General features: G+C 39.3%; 1 protein-coding gene and 1 long non-coding RNA gene across 4 annotated transcripts in view, besides 5 other annotated features; one reads left to right on the top strand and one right to left on the bottom strand.

Moving 5' to 3' along the window:
- Positions 1–15886, bottom strand: part of REL (REL proto-oncogene, NF-kB subunit) — a 50039-nt gene extending 34153 nt beyond the window's left edge. For all 3 annotated transcript variants that reach the window (NM_002908.4, NM_001291746.2, NM_001438025.1), the window contains exons 1-3: positions 15610–15886; positions 5635–5777; positions 2915–3063 (exon numbers count right to left, since the gene is read on the bottom strand). In NM_002908.4, the coding sequence (NP_002899.1) occupies positions 2915–3063; positions 5635–5777; positions 15610–15619 (302 nt within the window). In that variant the 5' untranslated portion in view covers positions 15620–15886. The remainder of the gene's footprint in view (positions 1–2914; positions 3064–5634; positions 5778–15609) is intronic.
- Positions 15474–16143: an enhancer, noted in NCBI's record as "H3K27ac hESC enhancer chr2:61108452-61109121 (GRCh37/hg19 assembly coordinates)". NCBI's record gives its function as "activates a minimal SCP1, AML or CMV promoter by ChIP-STARR-seq in primed H9 embryonic stem cells {active_cell/tissue: H9 hESC(primed)}" and the evidence as "EXISTENCE:reporter gene assay evidence [ECO:0000049][PMID:30033119]".
- Positions 15474–16291: a biological region, named in NCBI's record as "H3K27ac hESC enhancer GRCh37_chr2:61108452-61109121".
- Positions 15752–16291: a silencer, noted in NCBI's record as "silent region_11521". NCBI's record gives its function as "represses an Ori minimal core promoter by ATAC-STARR-seq in GM12878 lymphoblastoid cells {active_cell/tissue: GM12878}" and the evidence as "EXISTENCE:reporter gene assay evidence [ECO:0000049][PMID:35858748]".
- Positions 16146–24402, top strand: part of REL-DT (REL divergent transcript) — a 33555-nt gene continuing 25298 nt past the window's right edge. The window contains exon 1 of the long non-coding RNA NR_033980.1: positions 16146–16228. This is a non-coding gene — a long non-coding RNA (REL divergent transcript). The remainder of the gene's footprint in view (positions 16229–24402) is intronic.
- Positions 23678–23727: an enhancer, noted in NCBI's record as "active region_15825". NCBI's record gives its function as "activates an Ori minimal core promoter by ATAC-STARR-seq in GM12878 lymphoblastoid cells {active_cell/tissue: GM12878}" and the evidence as "EXISTENCE:reporter gene assay evidence [ECO:0000049][PMID:35858748]".
- Positions 23758–23857: an enhancer, noted in NCBI's record as "active region_15824". NCBI's record gives its function as "activates an Ori minimal core promoter by ATAC-STARR-seq in GM12878 lymphoblastoid cells {active_cell/tissue: GM12878}" and the evidence as "EXISTENCE:reporter gene assay evidence [ECO:0000049][PMID:35858748]".

The raw sequence follows: 24402 nt of genomic DNA, 5'->3' as shown, positions 1-24402 counted from the left end.
AGTGCACGCCTGTAATTCCAGCTACTTGGGAGGCCAAGGCACAAAAATTGCATGAACTTGGGAGGGGAAGGTTGCAGTGAGGTGAGATCGCACCACCGCACTCCAGCCTGGGCAACAGAGCAAGGCTCTGTCTCAAAAAAAAAGGAAAAAAAAAAAGAAAAAAGAAAAGCACAAGTCTTGAACATTTCATTTTGTCAGAAAGTAAAAAAGTGCTCAAAGAAAGATGACGGCATATCAAAAAAACACAGGAGACAGTTTGAAGAGGCTTGCATTAGTCAAATCTGGGTCAATTTGAAAATCAAAAGAATAACAGAATAACTATAATATATTAAATACAAGAATGCATGAGTTTACAGTGATACTTTTTAAATGGAGAAAGAGAGGAAGGGAAAGTTCTTCTTTATAATAGAATGCCAAGATAATATCGCCAATAATGTAAAAAACTGAAGGGATATTTTTAGAGTTATACTGCATCACTTCTATAGATTTCTTGCCCAAAATGTTTCATGTTAACATGAAAATATTATTCATGTTATTCATGTTAAATATAATGTTACCTATAGTGTGTAATCCTTAATGGGATCCTGAATTGGGGAGAGAGTTGGAACAGCCATAAAGAGCATTATTAGGACAATAAGTGAGGTGGTCCAAAAATTTAACTGCCTGTAACTAAGAAAGAACAGCCAGAAAAGCAGGAAGTAAAATGGAAGTTTGTTTTCACAGAAAGCAAGGAATAAAAATGTTTCAAGTAAGGAGTGATCACAGTGTAAAATGTTGTTGGGAGGTCAAGTAATATAGACAAATATTTGCCAAGTGTGTATAATACTAGATATTTTCTTTTGTGTTATTATTGTAAGAGGAGCATTTAAAGTATTTTTTTCTAAATGGTTATTACTAATATATGTGGAGACTATTAATCTCTTTTCTGTTGCCATTAGTTCATTTTTCCCCAAAAGCCAATACATGTTCATTACAAAAATGAATTATAAAATATAAGTTAAAAGAAAAACATAAAACCCTACAATCTTACCCACCCAGACAACTACTATTAATACCTTAGTATTAACATATACACATCATGTATATGTATAAATTTATCTTAAACAAAAATAAAATTATTCTTTACATATTGTTTTAAAACCTATTTATCTGGCCAGGTGCCGTGGCTCACGCTTGTAATCCCAGCACTTTGGGAGGCTGAGGCACGTGGATCACCTGAGGTCAGGAATTCGAGACCAGCCCAGCCAACATGGTGAAACCCTGTCTCTAATGGTTTAAATACCAAAAAATTAGCTGGGCATGGTGGCACATGCCTGTAATATCAGCTAACATGGGAGGCTGAGGCAGGAGAATCACTTGAACCAGGGAGGTGGAGGTTGCAGTGAGCCGAAATCACACCACTTCACTGCAGCCTGGGCAACAAAGCAAGACTGTCTCAAAAAGAAAAAAAAAAACAAAAAACAGAAAACCTATTTATCTAATATATTGTGACTATATTTACATACCAATAGACATATTGGCAATATGATTTTTAAGGCTGTACAGGAGTACATTGCATGAATGTATCAGTTTATTTAATTAATCCCCTTTGCTTACTATTTGGATTGCTTCTAGCTTTTTGCCATTACAAAGAGAACTGCAATGAACAGCATTAGAGCATAATGTCTGAACACACTTAATTATTTTCTGAGGCTAAACTCCTAGAAGTGGAACAGCTGGCTCAAGAGGCATTAATATTTTTCAGGCTTTTGCCATGTAGTTAAATTGCCTACCAGACGTCTTTATTAATTTACATTCTAACATGATGAATGGGCCCATCTTCTGGTAGCCTCACTATCATGAAGTATTACATGACTATTTTTATCTTAGAACTATTGTTGTATGTTAATTCTATAACCTGCCACTTTCTAAATAATAACTCTAGAGTTTTCCAGTTGATTTTTCTCACATCCAGGCATTTTTATGTTAACTGTAAATGGGCGTGGCACAGCAGCTCACGCCTGTAATCCCAAGCACTTTGGGAGGCCAAGGTGGACAGACTGCCTGAGTCCAGGAGTTCAAGACCACCCTCGGCAACAAGCAAAACCCCATCTCTACAAAAAATACAAAAATTAGCCGGGCATGGTGGTACATGCCTGCAGTCCCAGCTACTCAGGAGGCTGAGGCTGAAGATCACTTGAGTCTGGAGGTGAAGGTTGCAATGGGCCGAGATCATGCCACTGCACTCCAGCCTGGGTAACAGAGCGAGACCTTGTCTCAAAATAATAATAATAATAAGTTAACTATAAATGAAAAGACAGAGGCTAGGCACGGTGTCTCACACCTGTAATCCCAGCACTTTGGGAGGCCGAGGCAGGCAGATCACCTGAGGTCGGGAGTTCCAGACCAGCCTGACCAACATGGAGAAACCCCATCTCTACTAAAAATACAAAAAAATTAGCCAGGCGTGGTGGTGCATGCCTGTAATCCCAGCTACTCGGGAGGCTGAGGCAGAAGAATCGCTTGAACCCAGGAGGTGGAGGTTGCAGTGAGCCGAGATTGCGCCATTGCACTTTAGCCTAGGCAACAAGGGTAAAACTCCATCTCAAAAAAAAAAAAAAAAAAAAAAGACAGAGTGAATAATTATTTCAAAAACTGTCCACCCCAAGAAAGGAAATCACAGTATACAAGAAGTTTACGTTTACTTTTAATAACAATAAAAATGTCTTCCTGCTAACTATCATAAGATGTGTCTACTAATAAAGAATGAAAGGGTAGTTCTAATGCAAATAGTAAAAATGTAAGTGTAAAATACAGTAAATAGAAGTAGAATGAGAAAATTATTCTGCTAAAAAGTAACAGATTGTCATGGAGAAGAAACAGAACATCCTATGTCTTATCTTATTTCTGAAGATGTCTGTAACTGTGTACTTACAACAAAGGTCTGCGTTCTTGTCCAAATTCTGCTTCATAGTAGCCGTCTCTGCAGTCTTTTCCAACTAAATCATGAGGATGAGGTTTATATGGGTCATTCTTTGTTACTAATGTAATTCTCACTTTTCCTTTTCCATAATAGTTCATAATCTGAAAAAAGGGGGAAATTAAATACATGATCCAAATAGACTGCATTATAAACTGATCTACTAAATGAGAATTCAATTTACATTAATTATAATGTAATTGGCACTAGATAAATAAAATCCAGCTGACGAACAACTGCAGTTTAGATGAAACTTTCCAGAGAATACCAGTACAGAAAAACTTACCTCTCAGTTTCTTGACATATTTTCTGCCCTAATTTCAATTGGTCATATCATTTGACTGGGCTTATTTTCCTTTCAAAACAAGTAAAACTCTACCCAAATTTTATCCATAGAACATGAGAAAACAGATGTTAAGTCACTAAATGCCCAGCTCTTTAACGTACTGTCATACCATAAACATTCCTTGAAAATATATTTAAGCCGTATTGGAAAGGATAGCACATAAATATGATCATTTTACTTAATATATGACATTTCACTTCACAAAAATATTTGTTCAGTAAGCATACCCCAAGTGTTTACTCTAGAATAGGCAATAAATCAAATTGAGTTTAACAACATCAAATTTCACATAGAAAGTATAGCTAGAACACAGAGTAAAAAGGAGAGTTTAACATGGAAGAGGAAGGAGGACAGGAATTAATGCTTAGTTTGAAAGCTAGTAAAGTTGCAAGAACAAAGCAGGGACTATAAAAACCAGCATACCACAAAGGAGCAAGGTAAAGTAAGAATGGGTAGCTTACAAGGTAGAGGGCACTAAAATCCATAATTTTGAATTTAAATAGAATTTGAAAGTAACCAAGAAGTATTACATTTCTTTCTGTATGAAAGAGAAGGTAATTGCTCAAGACTATAAGTAGGCAAATACAAAACTCAAGCTGTAAAGTGTTTAGGACCTACTGGAATGGTAAAAATACATATCTTAGAAATAGAGATGCATAGGATAAGATGAATTATGAAGAAAAGTTTAAAAATGACTCAAAAAACTGGACAAATAGTATTTCCTTATTTCCTTTTTATTAGCATCTCATCCATTTTAACATTTAAAAGACTTAGATAACCCAAATCCATATTACTGCCAAAAATGTGATAAAAATAGAAATCTGGAATTCAATATATATAATTTTGCCATTGGTTTATTCTATAATTCAGCAATTCCCTTTAAGTTCATCAACAGAATAGATTTTGTAAATAATCTAGTTATAAAACAGTGAATTAAGATCTGTTGATAAAAGTAACACTTTTCAAAAACAAAAACAAAAAGCAACACTTTTCAAAATCTACTTTGCCATTAAAGTTTTTAATTGGCATTTAAAGGATAAACCCTTCATTGAAAGTCAAAGAAAAATAGTTTACAAATAGAAAATAGAAATTTAGTACATTGGGCTGGGCATGTTGGCTCACACCTATAATCTCAGCACTTTGGGAGACCAAGGCAGTCGGATCACGAGGTCAGGAGATTGAGACCATCCTGGCTAACATGGTGAAACCCTGTCTCTACTAAAAATACAAAAATTAGCTGGGCGTGGTAGGGGGCGCCTGTAGTCCCAGCTACTCGGGAGGCTGAGACGGGAGAACTGCTTGAACCTGGGAGGTGGAGCTTGCAGTGAGCTGAGATCACGCCACTGCCCTCCAGCCTGGGCAACAGAGTGAGACTCCGTCTCAAAAAAATAAAAAATAAAAAAATAAATAAATTTAGTACATCTTGGCTGGACGCAGTGGCTCACGCCTATAATCCCAGCGCTTTGGGAGGCCGAGATGGGTGGATCACCTGATGTCAAGAGTTGGAGACCAGCCTGGCCAACATGGTGAAACCCCGTCTCTACTAAAAAATACAAAAATCAGCTGGGCGTGGTGGTGGGCGTCTGTAATCCCAGCTACTCGGTAGGCTGAGGCAGGAGAATCACTTGAACCCAGGAGGCGGAGGTTGCAGTGAGCTGAGATCACGACATTGCACTCCAGCCTGGGCGACAAGTGTGAAACTCCGTCTCAAAAATAAATAAATAAATAAATTTAGTACATCTTATAACTATTAGTATGTTTACCAAAGTCATTTTTGGTCAAAAGCTTTTTAAAATTTATGCTAATGTGAAAAAACTGCATTTATAAAGTGGTATTTCAAATCAGTCAATGACCCAGAGAATCAGAGACAAGCAATAAAGTTAAGAAAAAGGAGAAAAAAATGTTCTAGCCCTAAGACTAGCCAAGAAGAATTATGATTGAGTTCTCAAATCCATGTTTAATCTACAGAATAATATCACTCACCTCTGCAGAGAATGGGTTTTCCTTATTATCTCTGTGTTCCATGAAAAAGAACATGATCCAAAAGTTGCCAGTGTACTCTCAACATTGAGTCGCTCTACTTAGGTTAATACACAAGCACCATAGAACTATCTGCAGTGGGGAAGACTCCATTTTATATTTAAGAAATGTCCTTAGACATCTATCTAATAGATGTCTTTTTGACAGATCCGTTTAAAAAAAAAAAGGAAAAAAGAAAAAGATAAACCTGTGGAGATGACTGTGAAGAAACTGGCCCTTTAAAATAATTGCTATAGCTAGTATATGAAGCAACTAATAGTGAGATAGACACAGAAGAAGGGTCTATTACCTGGATAGAAGGGTATGTTCGGTTGTTGTCTGTGCTGTGCTCCCCTGGAATGCTGCCTGCTGATCGCCCTTCACATTTGTATCTAAAACGCATTCCCCTCTGCCTGGGTTGTTCAATTATCTCTATATACGGGTTATACGCACCTGAAAAGTTTTTAAAAAGGAGGAGGTCAGTGAGATTAATATAGCAATTAATAATGGATTTTAACATTCTGTTTTTTTTATAACAGCAGACTAAAACAAAGATTTTTTTCCTCCTAACATTAAATAACAAGACCGAAATGTTATCTTGGAGATTGGCTGGGAGAGGCACCTTTTTTTCCCATTCAAATTGAGTCCCTATGTAGTGTCAAAACAAGTCATTCAAACCATATTGACTGGTTAGCACTTTATAGCTTAATATCTATAGCTAACGTCAATATGAAGTTCTGAGATAACCACTTCAGAGATATCTGCCTCCCACGTGAGACCTAGCAGAAGGGTTTCCCCCAAGATTCCCCAAGAAGGGTAAAGAAGGCAGTATTCAGAAGTAAAATATCACACTCCTAAAGTGAGTTAAATATATTTAACTGCTTGATTTTACATCATATTCATAATACTGAATGAAAAGACCATTCACTGAAAATGAAAATGCATTTAAATCCTTGCAGAAGCATATGTAAGTTTTTTATATCTCCATTCAAATATTAAAGGACTTACACACAGTATATCAAAACAAGCCCCAGGAGGGACTTTAGGCTCAAAGAATGTGCAATCAGTCCCATGCAAACCTTTTCTAAAGACATAATAGAGAAAAAAAAGTATTCACTTTCTATAATAACTAAAATTCAAAATATGCATCTGCAGAATGAACTGCTGCTACATATAATAACATGGACGACTCTCAAAATGATTATGCTGAGTGAAAGAAGTTAGACCAGAAGAGCACATACTGTATGATTCCATTTATATGAAACCCTAGGATATGTAAAGTAATATACAATGAACGATAGCAGATCACTGGTTGCCTAAGAACAGGGATATATGGTGGATAGGAAAGGCAGGGGGGACATTATCTTGTGATGATGATTCCAGGGTTGTATACATATGTCAAAACTTGTCAAATTGCATACTTTAAAAGTACAGTTTGTTGTACATAAATTATATGTCAATAAAGCTATTTAAAATGTATGCAACTTTACTTTTATTATCCAAATTGTGGGGGAAAAGGTAAATAGACACTCAACTGTACTTGCAAGTAGGGGAGTTAATAGGGGTGTGAAGATGTTTTCCATTAAAAAATAATAATAATGTGTCCCTTAATCACTTTAGTGCTGACTAAGGCTTATCCTGTTAGAACGCAAGCAATCCTGAGAAATGGTAACACAGTGGGCCTTATCAGAACAGTATGGAGAAGAGGCCTTTAGAATCCTACCCCAGCTACTTCTTAACAGTAAGACCAAGGAAATGTGATTAAAATTAAAAATCTCTTAGTTTCCTCCTCTGTAAAATAGGAATAATCATAATAGCACCTACCTCATTGGGTTGTTGTGAAGATGACAGATTATATGTGCTAAATTCTTACGAAGTGTCATATATACATACACATTCAATAAATGTTGTCTACGTGAAAAAATGCTCATCATCACTGGCCATCAGAGAAATGCAAATCAAAACCACAATGAGATACCATCTTACACCAGTTAGAATGGCGATCATTAAAAAGTCAGGAAACAACAGGTGCTGGAGAGGATGTGAAGAAATAGGAACACTTTTACACAGTTGGTGGGACTGTAAGCTAGTTCAACCATTGTGGAAGTCAGTGTGGCGATTCCTCAGGGATCTAGAACTAGAAATACCATTTTACCCAGCCATCCCATTACTGGGTATATACCCAAAAGATTATAAATCATGCTGCTATAAAGACACATGCACAAGTATGTTTATTGCGGCACTCTTCACAATAGCAAAGACTTGGAACCAACCCAAATGTCCAACAATGATAGACTGGATTAAGAAAATGTGGCACATATACACCATGGAATACTATGCAGCCATAAAAAAGGATAAGCTCATGTCCTTTGTAGGGACATAGATGAAGCTGGAAACTATCGTGAGGACAAAAAAACCAAACACCGCATGTTCTCACTCATGGGTGGGAATTGATCAATGAGAACACATGGACACAGGAAGGGGAACATCACACACCAGGGCCTGTTGTGGGGTGGGGGAAGGGGGGAGGGAAAGCATTAGGAGATATACCTAATGTTAAATGACAAGTTAATGGGTGCAGCACACCAACATGGCACATGTATACATATGTAACAAAGCCGCACGATGTGTACATGTACCCTAAAACTTAAAGTGTAAAAAAATAAAAAATAAAAAAAAATGGTGTCTATTATTTCAGATGCTTTCTTGAAAACAATGATTTAGTGATACTATGGTGGTATCCCAACTGTCACTCTAAAGGACCTTATAGAAGAGCAAGGCAAACAACATATATTATTAGACTACAGAAGGAAGGAAAGCACTAACAAAATTCTGCGGAAATAAGAGCGAAAGAGTCAGGAATGCCCAACTGTGTCAGTGGAAAAAGAGCGGTTAATGAAGCAAAAGAGCGGAGGAAATGAAGAGGAAAAAGGTAGGTATTCTAGGGAAAAGGGAACAGTGTGTCCACAGAGGAGGGTTTATTTAAGAATCACCAATGTAAATGGAACACACTTTCTCTCTTAAAAAGAGAACTAAAAGTCAGAGCACACTTGGCAATGTGGATTTCATTTTATGTGTGATGAAATCAATGAATATTTTGATGCAGGCAAATCACATGATCAGATTTGCATTTTAGAGTAAAAGTTTTAGTCACAGTGAACAGATAGAAAAAAGAAAGCAATGTCATCAGTTTAGAGACCACTATAATAATGTGGGCAATGATGAGGGTATCTCTGATATATGGCAGTGATAAGATGAATGAAGGATTATTTAAAAGATAAAATTGACAGCACCTGGTGCCTGAACAGTAGGGTTAAGAGAAATTAAAGAATCACTGATAGCTCAGAAATTAAAGAATCATTGATGATTCCATGGCTTCTACTTTGGGTTACTGAATAAAGTATTACTGTAACTTTCAATTTTATTCTGTATGGTGTAAACTCCCTGTGTTTGAATCTACTACCTATTTGTTTATTCAGAAGATGAAGAGCCAGAGAAAACTGACTTTAACCTAAACAAGTTCATAATCCTTATTTCAGTTTTACTCAAAAACATAAGATATGCAGATGAGTATTTCACGATTTTATCCTTGCATATTTTAAAGATTTCAAATTCACATTGCAATTTCAAATATTTCATACCCTTATATATCCTTGTAGGAGTATTTAAGAAAGTATATTTTCCTCTTAAAAACTGTTAAAATCAACATTACTTTTTAAGTCACATTTTAAATAATTTATGTGGCTGAAGTAAAGGCCAAATAAATCCCTGCCCACTACTTATTTAAAGGTGTCTTGGTGGGAAACTGATATAAAATGACATCGTTAATGATAAGTGTTTAACTTTGGGAAGAGAGAGTGTGAATAAAACTGCTAGGTTCATAGTGAGCATTCAAATATTTCACTGAGGCTGGGCATGGTGGCTCATACCTGTAATCCCAGCACTTTGGGAGGCCAAAGTGGGTGGATCACTTGAGGTCAGGAGTTCCAGACCAGCCTGGAAAACATGGTGAAACCCCATCTCTACTAAAAATACAAAAAATTAGCGGGATGTGGTGGCAGGCACCTGTAATCCCAGCTACTTGGGAGACTGAGGCAAGAGAATTGCTTGAACCCAGGAGGTGGAGGCTGCAGTGAGCCAAGATTGTACCACTGCACTCTAGCCTGGGTGACAGAGTGAGACTCCGTCTCAAAAAAAAAAACAAACAAAACACAAAAACAACAACAAAAAAACCCAAAACTTCATTGGTTACATGACACTTCTTTAGATTGTTTACAAAAAGAACAGAAAAGTAGTTGTTGAAAAGATTAAATATTTTTAAATAGTAAAAATTACATAAATATCAGTTATCATATAATATTGAGTATTTAAAGTCCTTGGAATTTATTTTTCCTACTGCAGAAGCTCTTAATTGGTAAAAATTAACAAGCTGGGGGAATGTAGAGTATTACAACCAAGTAACACAGTATACTGTAATACTCTACATTCCCCCAGCTGGAAATAATCTCCCCTCCTTTAAACTACCATAGTATTCTGTGTATAGCAATTATTCCAAATAACTGTAATTTAGGGAAAACTTACCGTCTTATTTCTTCTTGAGATAAAGCTACTTGTTTTATTTCTTCAAGCTACTTGAAGGCAGAAATTGTGTTTAACTCATCAGTGCCTTGTACAGAGATATTCATTAAACATCTATTGAATGAATGACTAAAAAATCTTAAGGTCTTTTGTTTATACAAGTTATTCAAACGTTAAATAATCATATAAGTGATTAGTCAGATTTTTTAATTAGATTCCACTACTAAGGAAAAAAAAATAGTGCTTTATAGGTACCAGGATTGCTACACCTCAGTATTTCCTCATACTCATTCCTATTTTGATTTATCTGTGTTTATGATTTTTAAAAAACTTCCCAGCTATAAATCATTTATATAATGCATCAGTACAATGCACCAGTTATCTCCTTCCTCAGTACTGTGCTTTGCACAATGCCATTCTTCCTGAATATAAAATGTGTTGAAATGTAGTCATCTATGGAGTGCAAGAGGGTAAAACATAAATCAGGAAATTGTAGGGAAAATAAGTACTCTTAACTAAGATAACCTCAAATCGCCACAGTTTTGAAAAGCACCAAAACGTCTCCAAAATTGACTCTAAACAAATTGATTACTGTATTTTTCTTTAAGCAACACTATGCAAAGCTGGGACTGACCCCTATATTCTGAATAGTATTTTAAAAGGCTAATATACATCAGAATAACTTCTAAAATACAGCCAAAATGTTTGTAAGATATATCTATGTTTTTATTTGCGCTTAGGCAAGAAAGAGTGCTATTTTAAAACATAGTGCCTATCTAATAAAGCATGAGCTTTTAAAATAAAAAAATTACATTGAAATGTTTAAATGGATCATAAATTATCGGAAATAGACACATTATTAACAAACACTTTATTGCTAGAATTAGCAACCAGCATCAAGTATACAGAAAAAAAAGCTAATTATTGTAATTATAACATTATTTTAAGACCCCTTTATATACATTTCTCATTTGATCCTCTTAACTTTAATCTCCATTTGAAAAATAATAGAAATTATTATCCCATCTTACACATGATAAAACTAAAGTTGAAAATTATATGAAGTTATAATAAAAATGAATTATGAATGGTATGCTAATATGGCAGTGCCAAATTTAAAAAACAAGCATAAAAGCAACTGGAGGTAATAACTGATACAGCACATAATCTGCAATCTAAAATAAATGCAACTTAATTTAAGAAGATAATGCATCCTGGTATAGCCAAATGAGTATTTAGATCCAAAGAAATCCCTAGAACAGAGTTCATACTGGGGATGTACATCAGAATCACCTAGGTAGTTTTTTCAAAACATACATGTCCTTACCCCACTTGAGATGTTTAGAAGATAAAGAAATCTTCATAGTTTTTAAAGCCCAGATACACGTTGCTGAAAAAGCCTTCCAAGAAATTCTAACACACTCCTGATTAAGAATAATTGTCTTAAAACATGAAGTGGAAGCAACAATGCACATATTGAGAGAAGTAATCTAAAAATTCAGGTACAAATATGGACTGGGACGTGAGTAAATTAGGCAAAGCAATTCTGGCTACTTGTAACTTGAACTTGTGTTTATCTCCCACTTAAAAAAGAACCTTATTCAAATGCAAGCAAGAAAAAATGACAATATAGAGATAACCTTCAAATGCTTTCATTTATTTAAAAAGTAAATAATTTACAACACAAATATTTTAACTCTTGCAACACATCACACAAATGATTGTCACACCAGTGTGTCAACACCACAGTTGAGAATAGCTGACTAGACTGCATGTCTCTCATAAAGGTCCTCGGTGACAGACTTTGCCTGAGACCTAAAGGAGCCAATGGAGCTAACAATATATATTTTTCCAAATATCACCTCTACTCAATTTGGAGAAAAAGAAAATAAGATCTATTATTTTTTTCCTCAAACTAGGTCTCTCATCAGCCAAAGGCTATGCCAATATATCAGGCTGACTTTATTACTCCAATACATCAGGCTGACTTTCAACTGGGCCTTAAGAATCAAAGAAAGGAAATTTTCAGATGAGTATTCAACTGATTTATGCACTACAAGGTAAAAACTGTAAAAGATTCTGGCAATAGGGATTCTGTTACCAAGGGGGAAAAAAGGTAAGTCTTGAAAAAACTCTTGCACGTGCCAGGGTAAAATAAATAAATTTTAAAAGCTGTCCTAGATTATACAGGTATTAAAGTTAAAAACAAATGGCAAGACCAAATCACCTCTGTTTTAAAAATAAAAACAGAGGAGGCCCAGATAAATATGAATTTCAGAAAAACAATTTTATCCCATGCAATATTTGGGTCATGTGCCTACAAACAAAATCATTTTCAGAGAACCCATATGAGAGAAAGTTGGAACAAAATGAAATTCTGAGTCCCTTAAATTGTATTTGAGAAAGATACTATGCATAACCTAGATGTTCCTAATTATGATTCATTGTCTGGCTCCTCCCTAGTCATTACATTAACTCATTCCCTTTATCTGTGCCTATCATACGTCACCTTAATTATTTAACTCCATTGTTATTTCTATTTTTTCATGTGTTGCATTTCTGAAACATTCATGCTCATGTGTGGCATTTTACTTAAAAAAAGAAGTCATTTACTGTAGCTATCCATTCCTAACTTCCAGCTCTGTTATTAAAGATTAAGTTGCCTCACACTTACTTCCATTTCTCCCCTTTAATCGAGAAAAACAACAATTCTCTTGAAATTCACACTACAAATAGTTGGTAAGAAGTGAGGTTTACAAAAACAATTCATTTCTGTACTTCCTTCCTATTGTGTGACACAGAAGAACCATACTAAGAAAAATGTGAAGAAAAATAAATTATCTAAATTTTAAAACATTTTACCAAAGACAGCACTAATTATTAGTTAACAGAGCTATATGCCACACAAAGACATTTTGCTCTTTTTACTGGAACAATGAGAAGGTTTAAATTCAGACATAAAATATCTAATTTTACTTATATTAAATAGAATAAATATACAAAAGCAACAACTGCCTACTATGCATACCTTAGATGGGTTTGGGAACATTTTTCTTCACTATATCTATTATTAATTATGTCAAAAGACTGTGATCAAGGTGTAATTTTTTTAAAAAGCAACGAAAGGCAGCTTAATACAAGCTGTGAAATCCTAATTAATCTGCTAACTTATCTAAACAAAATTTAGAATCATATTATATACATGATTTTAAACTACATTCTAACTTACATAATTTTGCTTATAAGATTATGATTTATGTTACTTTTACATTATAGCTATCACATATTCAACTACATATACCTATTTACATATGACATCTGGTAAGAAATGAAGAAATGCTCTTAAATACTTCGTAATGAATAAAAGTTACTTTCTGAGGTTTTAATACTACCTTACTACAAACAGAATCTAAACTAGACAATGAAAAACTAAGCAATTTCTTTTTTTTTTTTTTTTTGGTCACTCTTCCGGTTAAATTACTGTTTCAAAACAGAATAGGAATTTAGAATTTTATTAGTGAATCTTTTTCTTTCTCTAAGGTCTTTATAACAGATTAAGGAAAAGTACACAGATTCCTGTAAACATTTTTTTTTTTTTATTCCAGGCCTGGCAGTTTTCTAACAACTGAATTACAATTTAAATAACTTGTTACATTTTAAATAGTCCCATTTTAATGCAACTCTTAGAAAAGACCAAAAAAAAAAAAAAAAAAGTTAATCACCCTTCAACTTCTAAACCTTTAAAACTTTCCATTTCTTTAAACATTTCCTCCTTACTTTTAGGGAATCCTTCCTCCTCACAACAGCACAAAATACAGTGTCAATGAACAAATTTAAATTGTATCAAATTTTAAAATCCTGTGGGTCTTACAATACTCTATATAGAAATGGTTGTTTCCTCTCTCAACTGAAAAAATTAGAAGTATTAAATTCATGCAATATATCAATAAAGTTTGATTAAATCGCCAAGAGCCTGAACTTACTTATAATGCTAGGCATTCTCCATTACTTCCAAACAAAATCTTTCTGATAACCAATACATTAACAAAATATTTGAAGTCATCTTAGCACTTCTAATCTACACATGCTTTGAATTCATAAATTTACACGATTATCTGAAAGTCTGGTGTCACTTAAGTGGGAAAAGGGAAAGTTGAAATATTTTAAACTACACTTAGTATTCTCACAACCACAAACAAACTGAAATCAAATGTCATGTGAAACACCCCAATTTCCTTTTCTGCCTACAGCAATAGCTATGGCATTGTTCTGCTCAACCTTTTAAAAAGGTTCTTTAAGCTTCCTACTTCCTCATCTCTACTAGACATCAGCCTACTTCTGAGGGTCACTGGACCAGGCAGTTTGGGGATAAGAGTCAAGTTCATAAACGGGGCCCCCTCTTCATTCTCTTAGTACAGCATTTAACATGCATTTAGCCCTCCCTGCCTTTGCTCACGCTGCTTCCTCTGTCTGGAAAGTGTCCCCCACTCACCTTGCCAAAATCCTGGTAAAAGACCAACTCGACCCCAGGCTACTTGATTTATCCCCCCGCCCCGGCTCTCCCGTCCCCCTCAACCTTAAGCTCCAGGCAGCCCCAACCACATCTGTGTATATAGGAGACTTTCTTGCTCTGCAATGTTTCTTACAAACTTATTCCCCCCCAAAGGGAGAGATCGAGCATTTATTAAGGGAAAATATATAGTCACATAAGTGATAAAGTTGTATTCATTCCTACTCATTATTTTAAAGCTCGGATATTCTAAAACTCCTCTTTCCCCTTATTTCCAGCGAGGAGGAAGGGGGATTCAACGTCTCTATTCGTCAGATTAGGAACCTTGAGCTTTATCTCACAGTAAAAACTACATTTTTTTTTTTTTTAAATAGAGACAGGGTCTCCCTCTGTCGCCCAGGCTGGAGTGCAGGGGCGCGATCTCGGCTCACTGCAACCTCCACCTCCCAGGTTCAAGCGATTCTCCTGCCTCAGCTTCCCGAGTAGCTGGGATTACAGGCGCGCGCCACCACGCCCCGCTGATTTTTGTATTTTTAGTAGAGACGGGGTTTCACCATGTTTGCCAGGCTGGTCTCAAACTCCTGACCTCTGGTTATCCACCCGCCTCGGCCTCCCAAAGTGCTGGGAATACAGGCATGAGCCACCGCGCCCGGCCTACACTTGGTCGAAGCAACATTAACACTTAAAATACCACGGATTTTCTAATTCGTGTTAAAATACCACGGATGATTTTTAAAGCCGTGACACATTTTGTACAACTGTCAGTACAAGGGGGATCACCTCTTTGCATTTGATGAAATTAAACTAAAAAGGGGGAGAGAGCTTGCCCGAGGTCTGAAGGTTCCTCATTCCTGTTCTAAAACATAAAACCACCATCTTCAATACATATACATTTTTAATGAGAACTCTTCGTCCTCCTTTGGTTCGCTTATGACTTCCCTAATCCTAAAATCAAGTCGTTGGGAATTTCTAAGGTTCCTGCTATGACAACAGGATCGAATTACAGAGCGTGGCTTGGATTCTGCACGCAAACCCTGAAGCAGGTAACTTTTTTAAAAGCTGACAATTTTACCATATGAGATTTTAAAGACAGAACGCGCCCCAGCAAAAACTGAGCTCCCTAAACTCACTGCGGCAGGACCCCCTTCAGAAGAGCTCCTTTCCCCCGGCCCAGGCCCGCGCCCCATGAACACTCACCGGAGGCCATGGCTCCGCTCCCCGCACCTTCCCGCAGGCAGCTCCCAGCGTCCTGGCCGGAGGCGGCCGCAGTCAGTCAGTCAGGAGGCCGAGGGACCTCTGCCGGCGGGGCCCCCAGTCCCCCGACCACCCTAGAGGCCTCCTCCTTCTTCCCGCCCTCCGCTGGGTTTGCGGCTCACACCTTCCCAACCCCTGAATTCTTGCACCCCGGGTCACCCAGCGTCGCCGTCCACCGTACGGGAGCCAGGGGCAGGGGGCGGAGCGGGGAGAGCCGAGTGCTGGCCCAGCCGAGAGGCGAGCAGCCTGGCGGGAGGGGAATTTCCCGCGGCTGACGTAGGCCCGACGCAGCAACCCTCACCCGGAGGCGTGGGCGGGGCGACCTCGCGGCCGCCGCGCGCGCGACCGCCCCCAGCGCCCCGCCCCTGCCTGTCCCCGCGCACGCTCCCCGCCGGCCCCCACGCATACGCCCCCGGCGCTGCTGCGGCGGCTGGCTTGGGAGGGGGTCGAGGGAGCGGGAGCTTGGGGTGGGCTTCGGGAGCGCAGGGAACGGCGGGAGCCGGGAGGTGACGGCTAGCAGCGTGAGAAGGCCGCTGGCTCCTGAGAAATCCCCCTCCTCCAGGTTGTTCTTCCGAGTGTGGTTTAAAGTTCAGGAGCGGGCGGGAGGGTGCGGATGACGTAGAGAGGGCCGGCCGCTGGGGAGCTTTTGGGGGCGCGCGGGGCCGACTCTCCCGGCCTGGGAGGGCGACGGCCGGGGTTTTCGAGAGGTGGTTCCCCCTCTTCCCGACTTCGCACATGCAAATCTCCACCCCCGCGCCAGCGGCGGGACGTTGCGCCCTGTAGGGGGAAGTGGTGCTGCGGCGGGGGTCCTGTCTTCTTCTGTAATTCCTGTATTTGCATACGGGGACCCCCCCCCCGACTGATTTTTTTTCCTCCATCTAAATTGCGAGGGTACTGTGAACTTTACGTATTTTACCTACTGAAACCCGTTTAAACTCAAAAGGTCCGCACTTGGAGTTCGTTGTCTCATTAGGCAGTGCACTGAAGTTTAGTGGACACTATATCCTGAGATTTCACACAGATGCCAAGAAAGGCGGAAATGGAGCACACATTTAGTGCATTAAAGGACCTAGGATAACTTCGTTTCCTTCATTTGAATAGTACCTGCTATGCATCAGATAATGTCCATACTTAATCTATGACGTATTTATTATTCCTAACTTTATAGATGAAGTATTCGGGGTTCAGAGAAGTTACTTCAACATACAGTACTTCAGAATGCTGATAAAAGGCACAGTTTAAAGCCAGGGTTGTCTGACTCCAAAGCTCCATGCCCTTGCCCCTGTCCCTTACTAGTTAAAATTAGTACGGAGAGGTAATGGGGAATATCAGCCTGCCATACAAGTGCCCAAAACTGGGGGACCCATATGGGCAAATAATTTAAAATATCCTGCCAACCCCAAACTGTTCTTTCCACGAAATGCGCAATGTACAACAAAAGAATGAAACAGTTTTATTATTGGATATGTACTAAAACGTACCATGATGCACATCACAGGCAATCCACTGAAGAGAGTGCAAAGACCAAAAAAAAGGAAATCTCACCTTTTCATATGGTCAGGCACGTACAATCCATTACATACCTATTAATTGTCTTTATCCAAAGGAAAATAATGGGAAGTTATCTTGGAACCAAGAGCCAAGGCTTAAACCCTCCTAGAGACAGAAACATGGAGCACCATCCTTGATGTTCACATTTCCAAGAGATGGCTCCGAGGCCCGCAAGAAAGACCTTCTGAGGACGCAAAACTAGCAAGAGGCTTATTTAGCTTTTTAAAATATGTACATACATTTCAAAGAGACGGAAAACATTTTCAGTTCTCTGAAGGAATTTCAAAATGAAAAGTGACTGGGGGAGAGGAAAGTTCTGAGGAGGTGACATTTGAGCTGAGTCCTCAGTTTAAGAAAGAGCCGGCCAGGCGCAGTGGCTCATGCCTGTAATCCCAGCACTTTGGGAGGCTGAGGCAAGTGGATCACGAGGTTGGGAGTTCAAGACCAGTCTGGCCAAGATGGTGAAACCCCGTCTCTACTAAAAATACAAAAATTAGCCAGGCGTGGTGGCGGGCGCCTGTAACCCCAGCTACTCAGGAGGCTGAGGTAGAGAATTGCTTGAACCTGGGAGGCGGAGGTTGCGGTGAGCCGAGATCATGCCACTTGCACTCCAGCCTGGGCGACAGAGCGAGACTCCGTCTCAGAAAAAAAAAAAAAAAAAAAAAAAGGCCATTCACAGGGAGATTCAGGGAAAGAACATTCCAGCTGGGGGAACAGCAGGCAGCAGGTCCTTGAGATAGGAAAGAGCACAGTCAAGAATTGTCCCTCATCCTCATGACCTTCAAACGTCTCATCAAACATTCACTTTCATGTAGTTGAAATGCCTATTTTAATAATATATGGTTAGAACACAACTCCCTTTCATATATAGATATAAAATATTTTTGTATGGTTTTTAATATATACTGAATTTCCCAGGAATGCAAATATTGTATAAATTGAGGGCAGACTTTTATTAAAAAATGTTTTAAAAGTTGGAAAATTGTAACTCTGACAGCTCATCAATACAACACAGTATGCCAGCTGTGGTGGCTCACACCTGTAATCCCAGAACTTTGGGAGGCCGAGGCGGGTGGATTACCTGAGGTCAGGAGTTCAACACCAGCCTGGGCAACATGGTGAAACCCTGTCGCTACTAAAAATACAAAAATTAGCTGGGCGTAGTGGTGTGCTCCTGTAATCCCAGCTACTTGAGAGGCTGAGGCACGAGAATCGCTAGAACTGGGGAGGTGGAGGTTGCAGTGAGCCGAGATCACACCATTGCATTCTAGCCTGGATGACAGAGCAAGACTGTGTCTCAGAAAACAAACAAACAAAAAACCACAGTAGTATCAGGCTGCATTTGCAGCACTTGCATTCACACTGATTCTAGGTACAAGTACAAACATCTGGCAACTTCATTATGTCTTTTTTTTTTTTTTGGAGACAGGGTCTTGCTCTGTCACCAAGGCTGGAATGCACTGGCATGAACACAGCTCACTGCAGCCTCCACCTCCTGGGCTCAAGCTATCCTCCTACCTCATCCTCCCAAACAGCTGGGACTACATGCCCGTGCTACCACACCCAACCCATTATGTCTTTTTTTTTTAAGAGACGGGGTCTTGCTATGTTGCCCAGGCTGGTCTCGAACTCCTGGGCTCAAATGATCTTCCCGCCTCAGCCTCCCAAAGTGCCGGGATTATAGGCATGAGCCACTGCATCTGGCCCCATTATGTCTTTTGATGTAGTTATGCCCAAGCATTTACATACTGTAGTCGATATTATTTTCCTAGAAATTGCTTTCTTTTTAATTCTTGATATTGCTGTTAGAACATAATTTTTATTTATTTGAAAATATTCATGTAAGGTAGATTATGAATTTCACTTCAACCTACTAAAGGGGATGTTACAAATATATGTTATAAAACAGTGGGCACTGATCTGAAAGGGCAGAGAACCTTTAGAACCTTTAGAACTGTTGATGCTAAAGAACTTACCTTAAACATATGAAAAAAAATTTTTTAATGATGCAGCAGTTAAAAAGTCACAATCCTCCAGGAAAGAAACAAATCTGATTAGCAAATGGATGTGTTCTGAGTCTGTGATCGCAGAATATGAAAAAGTAAGAGTGAGGGGTCAAAAGTGAAATTGCTCCATAAGATATTTTTTTGTTGTTGAAAGAACAAGACACCCATCATTAAATTGAATGGATACAGTTAACAACAGTTTCAGAATAAAATCAAACGTTGTGGTCACCATAGGTTCATAGAACTGGAACAAACATATATTATTTTGGCATTCTTGAGCTTTCCCAGGCAGTAACTAAAGGTGACCGAAGTCATCATCCTAGGGGCATGCTAGTATTTGTTTAGGTCTGTTAGTGTGGGGCATGGATAAAATAATGTGTGCTCAGTATCTGCAGTAGTTACAGGCCAAGGCTGAAGCCTAGTGGAGAACAGGGCTCAGAGAAGCCTCTTCAGAGTGTCATCAAGGAGAGTCTTTGTAACCCACTACCCGGATTAAGATACAGAACGCTTCTAGCCAGCCACTCAGAAGGCTGCCTCGGAGCTGCTTCTAGTCAATATCCACCCCCAAAAGGCACCCGATATTCTGACCTCCTTGACAATAATTAGTTGTATCTGTTTTTGAACTTGATATGAATGGATTCATACAGTGTATACTCTTTTAAGTATGACTTTCTCACTTAACAATTGTATGTGTCATGTCCGTACTGTGTGACAGTAGTACATTCTTTTTCATTATTGGGGAGAAATCCATTGTATGAATATAGCACATTTTATTTATCCAGTCTACTGTTGATAAATATTTGAGTTGTGTCCACATAGTTGTCCATCTTTTGGTGGTTATAAGCACTTATTTCTGTTGATATACACCCAAGAGTAGTACTGCTGGATCATATGGTAAATACATGTTAGTTTTAGTAGACACTGCCAGTTTTCCAGGGTTGTTGTACCAAATTATACTCCCACAAAAAAACTTAAGAGGCCGGACGGACACGGTGGCTCACGCCTGTAATCCCAGCACTTTGGGAGGCCGAGGCAGGTGGATCACCGGAGGTCGGGAGTTCGAGACCAGCCTGACCAACATGGAGAAATCCTGTCTCTACTAAAGATACAAAATTAGCCCGGCATGGTGGCGCATGCCTGTAATCCCAGCTACTTGGGAGGGTGAGGCAGGAGAATCGCTTGAACCCGGGAGGCGGAGGTTCCAGTGAGCTGAGATTGCACCACTGCACTCCACTCCAGCCTGGGCAACAAGAGTGAAACTCCTTCTAAAAAACAACAACAACAACAACAACAAAACTTAAGATAATTCCATTTGTTTCACCAACACTTGGTATTGTCCTTTTAATTTTAGCCAGTCTGATGGAGGTGTAGCAGTACCTTCTTGTGGTTTTTATATACATTTCCCTGATAACTAGAGATGCTGAACTCCTTTCCTTTCTTTCTTTTTTTTTTTTTTTTGAGACGGAGTCTTGCTTTATCGCCCAGGCTGGAGTACAGTGGCGCAATCTCGGCTCACTGGAACCTTCACCTCTCAGGTTCAAGCGATTCTTCTGCCTCAGCCTCCCAAGTAACTAGGACTACAGGCAAGCCCACTGTGCACGGCTAATTTGTGTATTTTTGTTTTGTCTTATTTTATTTTATTTTTGTATTGTTAATAGAGACGGGGTTTCTCCGTGTTGGTCAGACTAGTCTCAAACTCCCGACCTCAGGTGATCCGCCTGCCTTGGCCTCCCAAAGTGCTGGGCTTACAGGCGTGAGCCACTGCGCCCGGTTGTATTTTTTTTTTTTTTTTAGAAGAGACGGAGTTTCACCATATTGGCTAGGCTGGTCTCCAACTCCTGACCTCGTGATCCACCCCGCTCTGCCTAACAAAGTGCTGGGATTACAGGCGTGAGCCACTGTGCCTGGCCAAGATACTGAACACCTTTTTACAAATGTACTAGTCATTTGGCTCTCCTCCTTTGCAGAGTACCTGTTTGAGTCTTTTGCACATTAGAAAAGAAAATGGGGCCAGACGCGGTGGCTCACGCTTGTAATCCCAGCACTTTGGGAGGGCGAGGTGGGCAGATCACGAGGTCAGTAGTTCGAGACCAGTCTGACCAACATGGTGAAACCCCGTCTCTACTAAAAATACAAAAATTAGCTGGGCATGATGGCACGCACATGTAATCCCAGCTGCTCAGAAGGCTGAGGCAGGAGAATCGCTTGAACCTGGGAGGCAGAGATTGCAGTGAGCCAAGATCACACCACTACACTCCAGCCGGGGGACAGAGCGAGAAAACATCTCAAAAAAAAAAAAAAATTGGATTATCTATCTTTTTCTTATTGATTTGTAGACATTCTTTATGTATTCTGGATATGAGTATACCAGTTGGGTCCTTTGGGAAGCAAGTACCAATATGAAATTAACAGTGCAAGAGATTTATTGGGGGTAACATCTATGAAAGATAAAGGGGAAAGAAAAAAGTTATAGGCAGGGAAAATCTTAAGATGCAGGTCTGACACTGGTGAAAAGAAAGGGGGAAGGAAGGTAAATTTGGTAGAAAGAAAATGAGATGGGAGTGCATCTTTGAGGAAGTCTCAGTAAATCCAATGGGGAGCTCTAACACAAACACTGTGCACAGAGATAGTTAGCCCTTATACTACCTCTGTACTTAATAATTGGGTAGGTGGCTCCAAGGAAATATGTGGCTTTGGCTTGAAAGCTGAGGCAGATCCTCTCTAGAATGGAGATCTGAGCAGAGCACCTCTATGGATGCCACAGAATTGTTATAAAATATATGCATTGCAAGTATCCTCTCCTAGTCTGTGGCTTGCCTTTTCATTATCTTAGTGAAGCTTTTTAACTTAGTGTTAATTAAGTCTGATTTATTTTCTTTGATAGTGTTTTTTGTGAATGTTAGAGAACTCTTCTTGGACTGAGGTTATGAAAATATTTTCCTATGTTCTAGAAGTTTTATAATACTCAGTAATATTTAATGGAGGCTCTGAAAAACATCTGCGGAATTCTCTGTGTTTCACAGCTAAAGGCCCTGGCTTTGCAAACACACAGGCCTGGATTTGAATCTTAGCTTGTCCTAGATTGTTAGCTGTGAGACTCTGGGCAAGTCCCTTAGCCTCTCTGTGCCTGTTTGCTTATCTGTAAAATAGGGGTAGTAATATGGTACCTACCTCACAGGCTTCTTGTGAGGGCTAATTGAGATCACTAATACAAAGTGCCTGACACAGGGAAAGCCCTCAGAAATGTTGGCAGGTTTTTTTCCTGTTTTATCATAAAAATGTTTGGGGCCAGGCATGGTGGCTCATGCCTGTAATCCTAGCACTTTGGGATGCCAAGGTGGGAGGATCGCTTGATCCAGGAGTTCAAGACCAGCCTGGACAACAAAATGAGACACCATCTCTACAAAAGATTTTTTTTTTTTTAATTAGCCAGGTGTGGTGACACATACCTGTGGTTCCAGCTAAGCCCAGAAGGTCAAGGCTATAGTGAGCCATGATCCTGGCACTGCATTCCAGCCTGGGCAACAGAGAAAGACCCGTCTCAAAAAAAAAAAAAAAAAAAATTCAAATATACAGCCAAACTGAAAGATTTTTTTTCCGGGAACATATGTATACCCACTAACTAGATTCCACCATTAACATTTTGCTGCACTTGCCTTATCACCTGTCTGTTTATTTTTCCATCCCTCTGTCTATCCATTCATCTATCTGGTTTTTAAAAATGTATTTCAAAATAAGTTGCAGACACTGGTACTTTGCCCTCTGAATAAGTCAGCACGTATGACTGTGATTCTTACACTACTCTAATAACCAGAGTGATTGTATCTGTTGGATTCATTGGGGTTCTCCCTCAGATAATTCTAGATAAATGGCCAAATTTCGTCTTTGATACCCCCATTATCTGAGTTACCTGTCTTCCGTTATGTAGTTTATGTAGATGCTTTACATCAATTTAAGCCACATGGTTCTCTTACAAAAAATTAAACCTTATCGAGAGTATGCCCTAGTCCCAGTTAGCATACTGCAAATCACTGCCCAACTCTCTGTAGTGAGGAGGTGTCCTTCCTATTAAGGACAAATAGCTGCAACAGCTGGGTTCAACCACTATGAGTGAATTTTACCAGTACTGTTGGCCAAACCCCACTCCTGCTCTCCTGTTTACTTACTGCATTAGTATTGTTTGAGATCTCTGAAACTCAATTATGTGATTTATAAGGTTGTAAAAAACAAAACTTAAGGGCAAAAAAAAAAAAAACAAAAAACCCATAAAGAATGAGAGCCAGGTGTGGTGGCTCACCCATGTAATTCCAGCACTTTGGAGACCAGGAGTTGGAGACCAACCTGGGCAGCATAGTGAGACCCCCATCTGTACAAAAAAAAACAAAAAAAAATTAGCCAGGTTTGGGGGCATGCACCTGTAATATTAGCTACTTGAGAGACTGAGGTGGGAGGATCACTTGAACCCAGGAGTTTGAGGCTGCAGTGAGCTATGAACACACCACTGCACTCCAGTCTGGGTGACAGAGCAAGACCCTGTCTCTTAAAAAAAATTCATAAATAGTTTGGTGTGTGGCAGCAGACCCAGATCCTGTCATCACTTTTGCCTGCTGTCCCTCCTATCTAAGACAAGTTCATGTGCTGCCGTCTTTAAAGCACACTTTAGGAGAAAGGGATAGTCCCTAAAGTAAAAACTATACCTCTGAGGAAACCTGCCCCACTCACCTATTTTCATTTAAGGAACTGAAACATAAGATTAATGAACACCCAGAGAAATGAAATCTTAGTACATAAAAACTCCAAAAAGCATTCGTAAAATATCCATTGTTAAAAATTTTCTTGGCTGGGCACAGCGGCTCACACCTGTAATCTCAACATTTTGGGAGGCTGAGGCAGGAGGATTGCTTGAGCCCAGGATTTCAAAACCAGCCTGGGCAACATAGCGAGACCCTGTCTCTATTTAAAAAAAAAAAAAAAAATCGGCAGGGCGCAGTGGCTCACGCCTGTAATCCTAGCACTTTGGGAGGCCGAGGCGGGCATATCACTTGAGGTCAGGAGTTTGAAACCAGCTTGGCCATCATGGTGAAAACCCATCTCTACTAAAAATACAAAAAATTAGCTGGGCATGGTGGTGCACGCCTGTAATCCCAGCTACTCAGGAGGCTGAGGCAGGAGAATCGCT

This window comes from Homo sapiens, chromosome 2 (assembly GCF_000001405.40).
Source record: "Homo sapiens chromosome 2, GRCh38.p14 Primary Assembly".
Taxonomy (NCBI): Eukaryota; Metazoa; Chordata; class Mammalia; order Primates; family Hominidae; genus Homo; species Homo sapiens.
This window is presented reverse-complemented; position numbering and strand designations above follow the sequence as displayed.